The following is a 14578-nucleotide window of genomic DNA, read 5'->3' on the forward strand; positions in this document are numbered from 1 at the left end:
TGAGGTCAGCATGCATTTATTCAGTGCCTACTGTGTGCCTGGCACCATGGGAAAGACAAAAGTAGAAGATAGGGACCTTAAAATCCAGTTGAGAAGTGAAAGCTTACATATATATGGGAAAGAACATTGAGTACATAAAAGATAGTATATAAGCCAACATTAAATTATATGGTACAGCATAAAATAGTTGTATAATCTAGAAAACCCCTAGAAGAAACTTCTAGTTTTTTGAGGGCTAAGTGGTATATCCATAAACTATTTCCAGAAGATTTTCATGGTGATCCCACTGATGAACATTTAGTAACTGTGAGACCCTATGTTTTTGTTACTCATATCATATTCAGTTAGTAAGTGCTATTAGTATCATTGGCGACTGCTTTTAAGGGTGGCTTTGGTTCCCTTACCTGCTTGCCTAAGACTTTTGCCTGTTTCATACATAGTTTTAATTCAGTTAAAAGTGCTAACACCATATTATTCTAAATCCTGTATTAAGATTTCTTGCCTTTCTATTCTCTTTTTATATTACTTTCCAAATTCACTGATAATGCTTATCAGACAGGATTAACTTGGAAGAAATAGAGGAATGTGGGAAATAGAGGAATAGAGTTTTAGAGTTGTTAATGAGAGGCTTAATGATCCAGATAGGTGTATCTCTGGATTCACTTTTCATTGAAACATTTTTCTGTTGCTTCACAGAGGTGCTTGCTGAAGGATCCCCACGTTCCCTGTCTTCAGTGCCTGATGTGACACATCACCTGGTGACCATGCAGTCAGGGAGGCAATCATATGAAGTTTCTGTCTTAACTGCAGTAAATCCACAAGAGGTAAAGTGGTCTCTTGCCCTTTGTTTCTGTGACAATTCATGTGGGGAATGATTGAGAATTTAGAGGACCTGAAAAAGTCTCCAGTTTCCATTTCCTGGAAACTTTGGCACGAATATTTTCCTTTAAATTAAGCATGAGTTCAGCTTGAAAGGAGCCTGAGGGTTAGGGTCTTAATGAATTGGAGATTGGTCTGTCACAGCTGGGACTCCCGGCTTTAAAGTTCTTTTATATACATTCCTTGTTGATGTCTGTTCCCACTATTCTCTGCCACACTATAACATGATACAGCTTTTATTTTATAAAAGCACACAGCAGGCACTGAATAAATGCATGTTGACCTCACCTGTTAAGTTATTCAGAGAAGAGGGCCTGGCCTGTGTAAATTGGGTGAAATTTCTGTACCAGACAGGAGCAAGTATTTCCTAGAGATCCCTTTCTTTTCTCCAGAAATAACATCCTGGAAAAAGTCCCTCAGCAAAAAAGGTAGTAACAAAATCATTAAACATAATTATTGTTCATTCTGCTATGGTCATATGTCTGGGAGATACCAGGCTTAACCAAATGGGCATATACAGATTTGTTCACTTGCTTGCTAAGTGAGAACCATTACCTAAATCAATGGTCTCCAGCCTTTTTGGCACCAGGGACCGGTTTCGTTTCACCTCAGGTCATCAGGCATTAGATTCTGATAAGGAGTGCGCAACCTAGATCCCTCAAATACACAGTTCACAATAGGGTTTGCGCTCCTATGAGAATCTGTTGCTGCTGCTGATCTGACAGGAGAGGTGGAGCTCAGGTGGTAATGCTTGCTCACCTGCTGCTCACCTCCTGCTGTGTGGCCTGGTTCCTAACAGGGCACGGACCAGTGCTGGTCCATGGCCTGGGGGTTGGTGACTTCTGATCTAAACAAAAAGGGTTTGAGGTTGAGCTAAAGCACTTTCAACTCTGTAGTTTGGCTTTGACTCAGGAAACAGAATGCAAAGTGGTCAGTGTTTTAAAATCTTGGGATATTTCACTGGTCTTGTGTCATGGGAGTGGATGACTTCATCACGAGCACATTTCATATGCATAAACTTTTGTCAAAACCTCTGTAGCTTGGATCCTTTCAGTATTACATTAGTTTTTATGGTGCTCTTCCGTCTTTTCTCCTCTTTTCTTTTCTTTTTTTTTTTGAGACAGAGTCTCGCTCCGTTGCCCAGGCTGGAGTGCAGTGGTGCGTTCTCGGCTCACTGCAACCTCTGCCTCCCAGGTTCAAGCGATTCTCCTGCCTCAGCCTCCTGAGTAGCTGCTACTACAGGTGCGTGCCACCACGCCCAGCTAATTTTTTTGTATTTTTAGTAGAGACAGGGTTTCACCATGTTGGCCAGGATGGTCTCGATCTCTTGACCTCGTGATCTGCCCACCTCAGCCTCCCAAAGTGCTGGAATTACAGGCGTGAGCCACTGCACCCAGCCTTCTTCTTTTCATTATAACCTTTATACCACAGTAAGCTGTTGCATCATTCAAATGACTCTGCATCCTATATTGAATATTCTCCATTATTCTCTAATATCTTTGGGGGTACCCAGGATTACAGGGTTCTGGGCATACATGTTAATGCTTTTGCCAGGACTTTTCTTTTTATTGTTGTGACCCATTGTCTTTGCTTATATTTAAAGTTTTTGATCTTGATATCATTGGTTCTTTCCTAAGTCACTTTTTCTGGTAACTGCTTTGGAATGAATCATACATATCTCACTTACGGAGCCTTCCTCTTTCTCCTCCATTTTTCTTGTCTTCATTTTTCTATTTTAAAGCTTTTATTATGGAAATTTTCAGAGTACAGTGAGAGAGAGACTAGTATGATAAACCCACGTCGAAGTCGAAGTTACGGCTGAGAGCGGCAGCTCACACCTGTCTCCTAACTTTGACTTTTTTTTTTTTTTGAGATGGAGTCCCACTGTCGCCCAGGCTGGAGTGCAGTGGTGCGATCTCAGCTCACTGCAACCTCCGCCTCTCAGGTTCAAGCAATTTTCCTGCCTCAGTCTCCTGAATAGCTGGGATTGCAGGCACCCACTACCAAACCCGGCTAATTTTTGTATTTTTATTAGAGATAGGGTTTTACCCTGTTGGCCAGGCTAGTCTGGAACTCCTGACCTCAAGTGATCCACCCGCCTCAGCCTCCCAAAGTGCTGGGATTACAGGTGTGAGCTGCCGCACTTGGCCCTAACTTTGACAGTTAACTTTATGCCATGCTCAGTGGCCCATGCCTATAATCCCAGCACTTTCGGAGGTGGAGGCAAGTGGATTGCTTGAATCCAGGAGTTCAAGACCAGCCTGGGCAACATAAGACCCCTATCTCTACAAAAAATACAAAAAAAAATTAGCGGGACGTGGTGGCATGTGCCTGTGGTCCCAACTACTCGGGAGGCTGAAGTAGGAGGATCACCTAAGCCTGGGAGGTTGAGGCTACAGTGAGCAGTGACTGTGCCACTGTACTCCAGCCTGGGTGACAGAGTGAGACCCTGTCTCAAAAGACAAAAACACAATTAACTTTATACTGTTCTTGTTTTATCTCTTTCCTCCTTTTGTTGTTGTTGCTGTTTATGATGGAGTATTTCAAAGCAAATTGTAGGCATGTCATTTCTTCTGTATATATTTCAGTATATGCCTCTAACAAGATACAATATTAAAAACTATAATATCTTTACCACTTCAAACAAAGATAACAATAATTTATTGTATTCTCTAATAGTCTATGTTCTTTTTTTCCTCCCCCTCAAAAATATCTTATGGTTGGTTTGCTAGAGTCAGGATTCAAACAATGTCTGTATATTGCATTTGTTTAATACTTCTCTTAATTCTCTTTATAATAGTCCTTTTTTTTCAGTATGGTTATCTATTTAAGGAACTGGGTTTTTTGTTTTGTTTTGTTTTTGTTTTTGTTTTGAGACTGAGTCTCACTCTGTGGCCCAGGTCAAGAGTGCAGTGGCGTGATCTCGGCTCACTGCAACCTCTGCCTCCCAGGTTCAAGCAATTCTCCTGCCTCAAGTCTCCCAATTAGCTGGGATTACAGGCACCTGCCACCAAGCCCCACTAATTTTTGTATTTTTAGTAGAGACGGGCTTTTACCATGTTGGCCAGGCTGGTCCCAAACTCCTGACCTCAAGTGATCCACCCACCTCGGCCTCCCAAAGTGCTGGGATTACAGGCGTGAGCCACTGCGCCCGGCCAGGAATTGGGAGTTTTTGTCCTAAAGATTTTCCCACATTCTGGTTTTGGCTGATTGACTCCTTTTGTTAATATTAATTTCTCTATCCACTGTATTTCCTAAAAACTGGTAGTTACATTTAGAGGTTTGATTAGATTCAATTTTTCCCCCTTGGCAAGAATATTTCATAAATGGTGCTCTTGCTTCCTATTACATCTCATCAGGAGGCACATGACAATCAGTTGATCTTAAGATTGACTGGTAGGTTATGTAAAGGTTTTGGCAACCATTACTGATCATAGCCTAGATCTATTTTTCATTAAGGCCTGCAAAATGGTGATATCCTAATTCTCTTGTTCCCTCTGTGTTTATTATGATTTTTTTTTTTTTTGAGGTGGAGTCTTGCTATGTTGCCCAGGCTGGAGTGCAGTGGCACCATCTCGGCTCACTGCAACCTCTACCTCCCGAATTCAAGCGGTTCTTCTGCCTCAGCCTCCTGAGTAGCTGGGACCACAGGCAGGTGCCACCACGCCCGGCTGTATTTTTAGTAGAGACGGGGTTTCACCATGTTGGCTAGGCTGGTCTTGAACTCCTGACCTCAGGTGATCCACCCGCCTCAGCCTCCCAAACTGCTGGGATTACAGGCATGAGCCACTGCGCCCGGCCTAATTGTGATTCTTTTATACAAGAAATACTTCTCTCATCAACCATAGGGTTGCCCTGAAATCGTCATTTCAGGAAAACCATCTCGTTTTTCTTTTACCTAGTACACATTATTATTCGAGCAAGCCAACCCACAGCACCTAGCCTTTTCTTTTTTATATTTGAAACCTCAGAGCTTTTCTCTCCTGTATTGGTAAATATCTTTAAAATTCTCCACGTTACCCAAATAAATGCCAGATGTATGAAAATTTAATTCATTCAGCGGCTAGTTACCACATACCTAGTATGTGTGGGGCATTCTGCAGGGTACTAGTTATACAATAGTAAACAAAATATAGTCTCTGCCTCAAATAGCTTATAGGCAGAATTAGGACCTTCATAACTATATATATGGTGCTGGAGTTGCACTGTACAGTGAGGTTAGGATGGGAGAAGTGACCAATTAATCAACCGGCAATTTTTTTTTTTTTTTTAATTTTTTAGACGGAGTCTCACTCTGTTGCCCAGGCTGGAGTGCAGTGGCACAATCTCGGCCCACTGCAACCTCTACCTCCTGGGTTCAAGCAATTCTCATGTCTCAGACTCCTGAGTAGCTGGGATTACAGGCGGCCACCACCACACCCAGCTAATTTTTTGTATTTTTGATAGAGACGGGGTTTCATCATGTTGGCCAGGCTGGTCTCAAACTCCTGACCTTAGGTGATCCACCCGCCTCGGCCTCCCAAAGTGCTGGGATTACAGGCATGAGCCACTGCGCCCAGCCTAAACTGGCAGTTTTTAAGTGTAGTACGTTCCAGTCTTGGGAGAAGTCAGAGAATATGTTTTAGAGTTTAAGTTGAGATGGGAGGGATGAATAGACATCATCTTGATGGAGAAGTAGGAGTTGGAAGAATATAACAGGCAGAAGGACAGCAGTGTGTACAAAGGTAGAAGGTAAGGGAGTAGAGGGCCTCTGTGGAACTGTAAATAGGGTTGAGTGTGATGGGACATGGGATGAAGAGATGGGCTGGAGAGGAAAATTGAGAGCTGGAAAGATAAGCTAGTCTCTTGAAAGGTCTTACAAGGCATGATTTTATCCTGGGGGCACTGAAGAACCACTGCATGGTTTGAAGTAGGGTATGACGTGATCAGATTTGTGTATTCAGAATATCCAGTAATAGTACATTTGTTCCCTAGAACCTAGGCACAAGTCTTGGAATTGGCCTCAGAGCATCCATGTATAATAGGTGCTGCCCACTTACAGCCTCAGGGAGACAGCATAACACAGGCTGCCTAAAAAACGAAAGACCTGGGTGTGGTGGATCATGTCTATAATCCCAGCACTTTTGGAAGCTAAGGTGGGAGGATCACTTGAGGCCAGAAGTTCGAGACAAGCCTGGACAACAGAGCAAGATCCTGTCTCTACAAAAAGTTTTTTAAAAAATTATCCAGGCATAGTGGTGCATACCTGTAGTCCCAGCTACTCCAGAGGCTGAGGCAGGAGGATCAACTTGAGCCCAGGAGTTCGAGGCTGCAGTGAACTATGATTGTCCCACTGCACTCCAGCCTGGGAGAGATCCTATCCCAAAAATCAAACAAAAAAAGGAAGTATGGTCTTCACTCCAGGAAGGCACAAAACCCAGTTTCATAATGGAAGCCCAAAACACTTAGAAAAATATTAACAACACAAAAGGGAAAGTGCTGTCCTGGATGTAGCTCAAAATCCTGCACTGTCACTTTTTCCTCATGGGTTTTTGTATATTTACAAACATACCCTCTGTCTGAGCCTCACTTCTTTTGTGTTTTCTTCACTTTTAGCATTATTCTCCTCCTCGTATCACAGGCATTTCCACTGCTTATCCCCTCCTTTTCTTTCTTCACTAGTTTGGGTCCTCCAATACCTTCAGTTTTTTTTCAAGCTGTGAGGCCCTCAGGGTTCCAGGCTTAGGCCTCTTCCTCATCCAAGGTCTAGGTAATAACTTGCTATTTCTCCAGTGAGTGAGGAATGTTGATTCCTTAAGAACTTTCAGGTGCCAGAGAAGGTGAAGGCTATTTGCAACACATGTCCGTTTCACCTTTTTTGGAGATCACCAAGCAGTATGGATCAAAGTCTACTGATGAACTTGTACTTCCTGTAAATATGCTCTAAAAATAAAAATAGCTTATCAAGAATATCAGAGAACAACCAAATCTGTTATCAGAAATTTTCATGAGAGGCTGGGTGCGGTGGCTAGCACTTTGGGAGGCTGGGGTGGGAGGATCAATTGAGCTTAGGAGTTTGAGACCAGCCTGGGCAACACAGGAAAACCCCATGTCTACAAAAAATAAAATAAAATTAGCTGGTCCTAGCTACTTGGGAGGCTGAGGTGAGAGGATCACTTGGGCCCAGGAAGTTGAGGCTGTAGTGAGCCATGATCTTGCCACTACACTGCAGTCTGGGTGACAGAGCCAAACTCTTTAAAAAAAAAAAAGAAGAAAAATTACCATGGGAAAAATATCAGAAACTACAAGTCACCTCTCTGGTTCAGGTGGACAATCTCTATTTTCCCTCATTATTGTGCCACATCTGAGAATTAGATGGAGGACTCATTGCACAGGCCCAACTGGGAACCCCAGGGCTTTTGGGCTGTCATACTTACTAAAGGTCATTCTAAATGGGGCTCCATATTTACATTGAGTTCACATTCTTGAACTCAAGAACCAGTATAAGAGATTCCCAGCTAGTTTTGACTACCTCTTAGAATGCTTTCCAAATCAAGGCACAAATAGAAATTACAAATTCTATAATATTTCTCATAAAGTACCTTTGCTAAGTTTGACTGCAAAGATCTGGATCTTGGCCTCCATTAAAAACACACTATTCTTAACTTTCCTGCCACACAGCATCAAATGGAATATGTGGTTTCTTTAAGGTTTAATTTTTTCTTTAGATTTTGTTTAAAAGTCTTTAAATTCCATATAATTAAACTCTTAAAAAAAAGTTTTTTTGGTGGATACAGTGTCTTACCATGTTGCCCAGGCTGATCTCAAATTTCTGGCCTCAAGCAATCCTCCTCCCTCAGCCTCCCAAAGTGGTGGGGTTATAGGCATGAGCCATGGTGCCCAGCCCAATCATTAAATTCTACTGTATAAATTACCTTCATCCAAATTAGGATCACCAAGTAAATACATCTCAAGCTGAAGAATTTATTTGATTAGATTTTAATAAGTTGTTTTTGTTCTGAATTTTACTGAATTGTTCCCATCTCATTTTTGTGTGTCTGAAAACAGTCTCAGTCTGTCACTCAGGCTGGAGTGCAGTGCAGTGGCATGATCATAGCTCACTGCACCCTTGAACTCCTGGGCTCAAGTGATCCTCCTCCCTCAGCCTCCCAAGTAGCTAGGACTGCAAGCATGTACCACCATGCTTAATTTTTAAAATTTTCTTGTAGAGACAGGGCCTCACTGTGTTGCCCAAGTGGGTCTCAAATTTCTGGTCTCAAGCAGTTCTCCTGCCTCAGCCTCCCAAAGTGCTGGGATTACAGATGTGAGCCACTGCACCCAGCCTCATTTTGTTTTTATATTAAAATGGAAGCCAATTTCATTATTTCAAAACTCCTTTGAATAGAGCCTTGTGTATAGAGTAGAATGTTAGTGGTAGTTGCCATTATGCAGGAGTCCCTTAGGCTTATCATTCTTTTAAGCCCAAGGAACCCCTAGATCTTTTATGAGTGGGTTTCAGCTCTCATATAGTACTTATAAAGGAACAGCTCCTCTTCCTATTTCCTTCTCCTACTTGAGCCTTCAGCCTATCCTTTGGCTGACACGTATAAGATTTTGGTTCCACCATTTCTGTTTTCCCTGTAAGTTAGAGATTCCTCTGTCACTGACTGATGAGTAGGTAACTACACAAACAATAGTTTGGCTTATAGACTCAGAATATTTGATTGCCAGAGTTAAAATGCCAGCCTTATGACATGGCTAAAGTGCTGTCCCAAGGCCACAGTGACATCTATCAGTCCGTGCATGTGTTTGCTTTGGAAGTAGATAGCCTTCATTCACCCCTGTAGTGCATTCTCCATCCTCCACTCTTAATACTTTTTACTATGAATTATTTTTTCTATAATTCAACTGTAACCTATTCTAGATTTGCTTTCAATCTTTTACAGTTACTAAACCAAGGAGATTTAACTGAAAGACGGACATGAGCGTGGGTGCTGACTCCTGGAAGAGCAACTCTATCTGATCTCAAAATGCGTATACTGGGAACAGGATGCCTTAGCCCACAACAGAACCAGAATGAATCTTTGAAGGCACAAGACTCTGCTTTTGCCACTCTTCCTCTTTCCTGGTATAGAAGATGGATGTAGGAGAGCTTCTTTTCTAACTACCATCTGATCAGACAAGGAATGAAGCAATGACTGTGGGCTGGGAAACTGTACCTACCTCTCTTCCCACTGCAAATTTCTGGGATAGACCAAAAGTGAATTTGATTATGTGTTGGCTGAAGTTCTTCATTCTGACTGTTGAGGGGAGGTTTTCCTTTGAAGAGTTTTCATCCCAGACTCAGCTGTCTTTTCACATGGATGAAATAATTCCTGCTACCAACAACAGAGCTTCACCAGGAAGTTGAGTTTTCAAGATGCCTTGTTGCTTTGAAGAAGGGAGTGATGTCAATTCTCTTGTTACATTCTCCCTTTAGCAACCTGAGTAAGAGACTCTCTGCCACTGGGCTGCAAAAAAATAAATTACTTGAATCTCCCCTTGGCCCAGGCTGAGGTACTATCTTGTCCTATACACTTCTACTTGGTCACTTTGCTTTCTTCGTTAATGGAACATACAGTAGCATGTTAAGAGGGATTTCATGTTTTTGTTTTTTTAAAGTTAAAAATTACATGATGCAGAGATTCAGGTTTTCCTTTAAATAAACAAAACAGCCCAGTCAGTTCTTTGGCTCTTGTTTTATACAAAATTTGTTTTCTTAGAGATTAAGAATTTAATCTTTCCCTTTAAAATAGTGTATTGATTTACCCTTAGGATTCCATACCAGTAAAACTGAACCGAGGAGTCTTAGGAAACAACAAGAACATCTTCATTTCTTAAGCCCAGGTGATAGTTACTCTGTCACCACCAAAAAAGACGCATCTGAGAAAATGGCAATAAAAACAGATACTTCTGAATTTTTCCACAAAGATAGTTTTTTTAAAAAAGCTTGAGAAAGGTGCTTTAGTTAGAGCAGGCACTCTTGCTATCAGTCATCCTGTCTCCACAGCTACTGAGAAAATATCCACTCATCATCATTATGATTTGAGATGGGGTCTTGCTCTGTCACCCAGGCTGGAGTGCAGTAGTGTAATCATAGCTCAATGTAACCTTGAACTCCTACGCTCAAGGCATCCTCCCACCTCAGCCTCCTGAATAGCTAGGACTATAGGCATGTACCACCAGTCCAGCTAACTTTTTGTGGTTTTTTTGGTAGAAATGAGGTCTGTGTTGCCCAGGCTGGTCTTGAACGCCTGGCTTCAAGCGATCCTCCTGCCTTGGCCCCTCAAAGTGCTGGGATTACAAGCATGAACCACTGCACCGAGCCAGAATATCCAATTATTATTGGTGAGAAGAAAATTATTCCAAAGTTCACCTACTAGTAGAAAATCTTGGTTGTCTGGGAAATTTTAAGTTTACTTAAAATGAACCTCATGCTCACATAAACACACAGGCACATTCTAAACAGATAACGGGAGAGAATTGTTTTAAATTCTTAATTTGTTAATGACATGCATAATCACATAGTACATAGACTGTGTTCATGGCAATTACTTGTATTCTTAGAATGCCAGTTTTTGCTTCATGCAGCCATTTATATTAGAGCAGTGGTTCTCAGCCAGGCACATTTTTGCCCCCTGGGGATATGCAATATCTGGAGACATTTTTGGTTGTCACAGCTGGGGAGAGGGGTACTACTGGCATCTAGCAGGTAGTGGCCAGGGATGCTACTAAACATTCTACAATGTACAGGACAGTTCCCTTCCCCAACCCTCAACAAAGAATTAGGTGGCCCAAAATATTAATAGCACTGAGGATAAGAAATCCTGTACTAGAAGTTGTAAGTTTTTCATCCCCCATGGGCTAGATCTGATATGCAGATGTATTTTATTTTGCCCATACAATATTTCTAAGTAATTTTTAAATTAGTTGATAGCATACAAATTTCTGGCTTGATGAAAATGTAGTTGATGTAGTAACTCTGAGCCTATATTCCAGCAGGATTTGATACTTTCCAGTGTCTACTATCTCCTACTGTCTACACCCACTCCATGGACGCATTTATGTTTCTGCACTAGCCCCTTATAGGCATTTGGGCCTGTGCTCTCTTTTCTGTACCTAATTCTCTAAGTGTGAGGCACAAAGCAGGAACCCTTAACTTTAGGCTACCATCCCTCCACCTGAGCCTCCCCACTTTGATTTCCTTGAACTATTCTCTGTTATCTGCTGCTCTTTTTTTTTCTCAGACAGAGTTTTGCTCTGCTGCCCAGGCTGGAGTGCTGTGGAGTGATCTCAGCTCATTACAACCTCTGCCTCTTGGGTTCAAGTGATTCTCCTGCCTCAGCTTCCCAAGTAGCTAGGATTACAGGCACGTGTCATCACGCCCAGCTAATTTTTGTATTTTTAGTAGAGGTGGAGTTTTGCCGTGTTGGCTGGACTGGTCTCAAACTCCTGACCTCAGATGATCTGCCTGCCTCAGCCTCCCAAAGTGTTGGGATTACAGGCGTGAGCCACTGCGCCTGGCCTGTTAATCTGCTACTCTTCATTTGTCCATCCTCTAACAGTAGCCATGACTCAAAACCCAAGTTTTCCCTGCCTTGACTCAAACCCAAGTTAGCTGCTTAATATTTTTCAAAAGCAGTAATTTTAAGTGTAGTGATTAAGCAAGTGATACGAGATTTTCTGGTGACTGATGAGACAGCTCCTCCAGTACTTTCCTGGGGCTTGCAGGCTGTTCTAGAGATCCTTCTAAACCCTGCTCTGGATCTCTGATGCTGAGTTTTGTAGTTTCTTGGAACCTGCAGAATAAATTAAAACATGAAAAACAAAAAAAATTTTTTTTTCAGACAGGGTCTCACTCTCACCCAGGCTGGAGTGCAGTGGCATGATCTCAGCTCACTGCAGCCTGGACAGCCCAGCTGAAGCAACCCTCCCACCTCAAGCAATCCTCCCACCTTAGCTTCCCAAGTAGCTGGGATTATAGGCACGTGCCACTGCACCCAGCTAATTTTTTTTTTTTTTTTAACTTTTTGTAGAGACAGGGTTTTGCCATGTTGCCCAGGCTGGTCTCAAACTCCTGGGCTCAAGCGATCCACCCACGTCAGCCTCTCAAAGTGCTGGGATTACAGGCGTGAGCCACCGTGCCCAGTCTGAAAAAAGAAAGTCTTAAAGCACTGTGTAAGGTTTAAGAACGGTCTCTCCCAGCACTTTGGGAGGCCATGGCAGGTGAATCACGAGGTCAAGAGATCAAGACCATCCTGGCCAACATGGTGAAACCCCATCTCTACTAAAAATACAAAAAATAGCTGGGCGTGGTAGTGGACACCTGTAGTCCCACCTACTCAGGAGGCTGAAGCAGGAGAATCGCTTGAACCCGGGAAGCGGAGACTGCAGTGAGCAGAGACTGCAGTGAGCCAAGACTGCGCCACTGCACTCCAACCTGGCGACGGAGCAAGACTCCGTCTCAAAAAAAAAAGTCTCAACATTATTACTATTTTATATGGGATGTAAAGGAAAATTTCTAGGGGTATAAAACTGAGATAGGAATTAGGGTAGGGGCTGCTAGGATTTAAGATACAAAACAATTGAGAATAATGGAGAGAAGATACTATTTTCTCCCTTTGACTCAATATCAAAATGGGTTATGGAGGGCCGGGCGCGGTCACTCACGCCTGTAATCCCAGCACTTTGGGAGGCTGAGGAGGGTAGATCACGAGGTGAGGAGATCGAGACCATCCTGGCTAACATGGTGAAACCCCGTCTCTACTAAAAATACACAAAAATTAGCCAGGCGTGATGGCGGGAGCCTGTAATCCCAGCTACTCGGGAGGCTGAGGCAGGAGAATGGCGTGAACCCAGGAGGCGGAGCTTGCAGTGAGCCAGAAATCGCGCCACTGCACTCCAGCCTGGGCAACAGAGTGAGACTCTGTCTCAAAAAAAAAATACAAAAAATAAAAAAAAAAAGGTTATGGAGAAGGTGATACTAATGAGCTACCTTTAAGGAATGCTAGAAAAACAGTTTTATAGTTTTATAAGAAGTCAAAATATACATGATTTTTCTTCAAAAATAAAGTAGAAATAGTTTCAGCTCATGAAATTGGAACTGGAATTGGAAAATGATCTGTTTCAAAATGGAAGAAAACGAAACATAATTTGTCAGATTTTATTCACAACTGCATCACTCTCTAAATTCAAATGTGTTACTTGGAGATCTCTGGATTACTTATTAATGTTACATAAATACAGGATTATGATCTCAAAATACCAGTGGCTATTCTAAAGTTTCCTCCCAGTGGTATTACTGGGTATGACAATTTAGAGAGCTGCAGAATGACAGCAACATTTCAGGTTACCTGGGAAAATCCTTGATTTTGGTCTCTTTCTCTTGAACAGCCCGGGTGCCTTGACCCTTGTTTCTCACAAAGTCTTCCTCCAGCCCAGCCTGCTTCAGGGTGTCTAGATACCACTGTTCTGCTTCTTTCTTGGCTAGATCCTGTGGGATGGAAATTAATCTGTTGTAGCTGTCTTATGAATTACCAGACAATTCTAAATTACTTAATCAGTATTGTTACAATACTGCCACAACCACCACCACCCTTATTGTGGGGCATAGATTTGCAAGAAAATTATTTAACCCTTGTTTTCCAGCCTTAATGTGTATATAAATCACCTGAGGTCTTGTTAAAATGCAGATTTCACATTTGGTAGGTGTCAGATGAGGACTGTAATTCTGTATTTCTAACACTCCCCAGAGATGCCAAACTGTTGATTTGGGAGTCACAATTTTGAAAAGCAATGACTTAGACTTTTGGGAGACAAATGAGACCCAGATTTAAAAGGATGGACTAAAAACCTAAGATTTTAAAGCAACAAACCATTATCAGGAACACTAAAATAAAATAGAAAATAAGCTACACCAAGACTCTTAGTGGAAGGACAGATGGTCTGCATGTGGACCAGCAGAATATTATTTTTTGTTTAAGTATTCAAGAACAAAATCATAGAGTACTTTGTATTTTTCCTAGAGAGGTGAAAGATCTGTTGAGATCTGAAGAGTGAGCTTGCTTAACATTAACATAAAGAAGCATGAGATTTTGAACAATGCAGGTTGCTAAGTAAATCCAAGACCATGTGTGCTTATGTGTGTGAGAGGAGAAAGATTTATGGAGGGAGGAGGAAGTGGAGCCAGCAAATGCCTAGACAATGTACTAACTATAAGATGGAGCTAATGCCCTGCCATTGGAACTAGGTCACTATGGAACCCCAACTTGTCTGAAACTGGAGAGGAAAGAGATCCACAGAGCCTAATGCAGTAGAAACAGAGCATCCTTACATCCTTACGGAGATCTCAGCTGAGTCCAACATCCCTAAAAGTCTACAGAGAATATCTTAAAATGATACTCTTCCAGGATACTTCGGGTACACTGCCTATGGGTTAGCCCTGCTCCATAAGGAACACACACTCACACACACATACACATGCATACAAAATAAAAGAAGAAAAAAAAATTTCAGGCTTCCAGCCTGAAAGCCACTTAGTCTAGAGAAAGCCTTGCAGGGTGTTTGTGGGCATCCTAATGCTTGGAGACCTATAAATATACCACAGCTCTAGAGGCTGGGGAGGCCCAGGGCCAGCAGCACTGCCAGAGGAGAGATACCTTTCCAGCACTGTGAACAGTGG

The 14578-nt window shown here is 42.3% G+C and overlaps 2 protein-coding genes across 9 annotated transcripts in view; one reads left to right on the forward strand and one right to left on the reverse strand.

Moving 5' to 3' along the window:
• The window catches only part of ZNF410 (zinc finger protein 410), a 45663-nt gene extending 35840 nt beyond the window's left edge, over positions 1–9823 (forward strand). For 4 of the 6 annotated variants that reach the window (NR_040251.2, NM_021188.3, NM_001242926.2 and 1 more), the window contains 2 exons: positions 697–824; positions 8805–9823. Coding sequence is in view for 5 of the 6 variants with exons in the window: in NM_021188.3 (NP_067011.1) it covers positions 697–824; positions 8805–8843 (167 nt within the window). In the remaining variant the exon portion in view is untranslated. Of the gene's footprint in view, positions 1–696; positions 825–2003; positions 2122–4408; positions 4531–8804 lie in introns of all 6 variants that reach the window. The other 2 variants (NM_001242924.2, NM_001242928.2) reach the window with 2 other exon arrangements.
• Positions 1–14578, reverse strand: part of FAM161B (FAM161 centrosomal protein B) — a 27396-nt gene continuing 12818 nt past the window's right edge. The window contains exons 8-11 of one of the 3 annotated variants that reach the window (XR_007063990.1): positions 13251–13390; positions 11616–11696; positions 9683–9780; positions 1–38 (exon numbers count right to left, since the gene is read on the reverse strand). Coding sequence is in view for 2 of the 3 variants with exons in the window: in NM_152445.3 (NP_689658.3) it covers positions 11558–11696; positions 13251–13390 (279 nt within the window). In the remaining variant the exon portion in view is untranslated. Of the gene's footprint in view, positions 39–9577; positions 11697–13250; positions 13391–14578 lie in introns of those variants that run through there. The other 2 variants (XM_011536475.3, NM_152445.3) reach the window with 2 other exon arrangements.

This window comes from Homo sapiens, chromosome 14 (genome assembly GCF_000001405.40).
Source record: "Homo sapiens chromosome 14, GRCh38.p14 Primary Assembly".
NCBI lineage: Eukaryota > Metazoa > Chordata > Mammalia > Primates > Hominidae > Homo > Homo sapiens.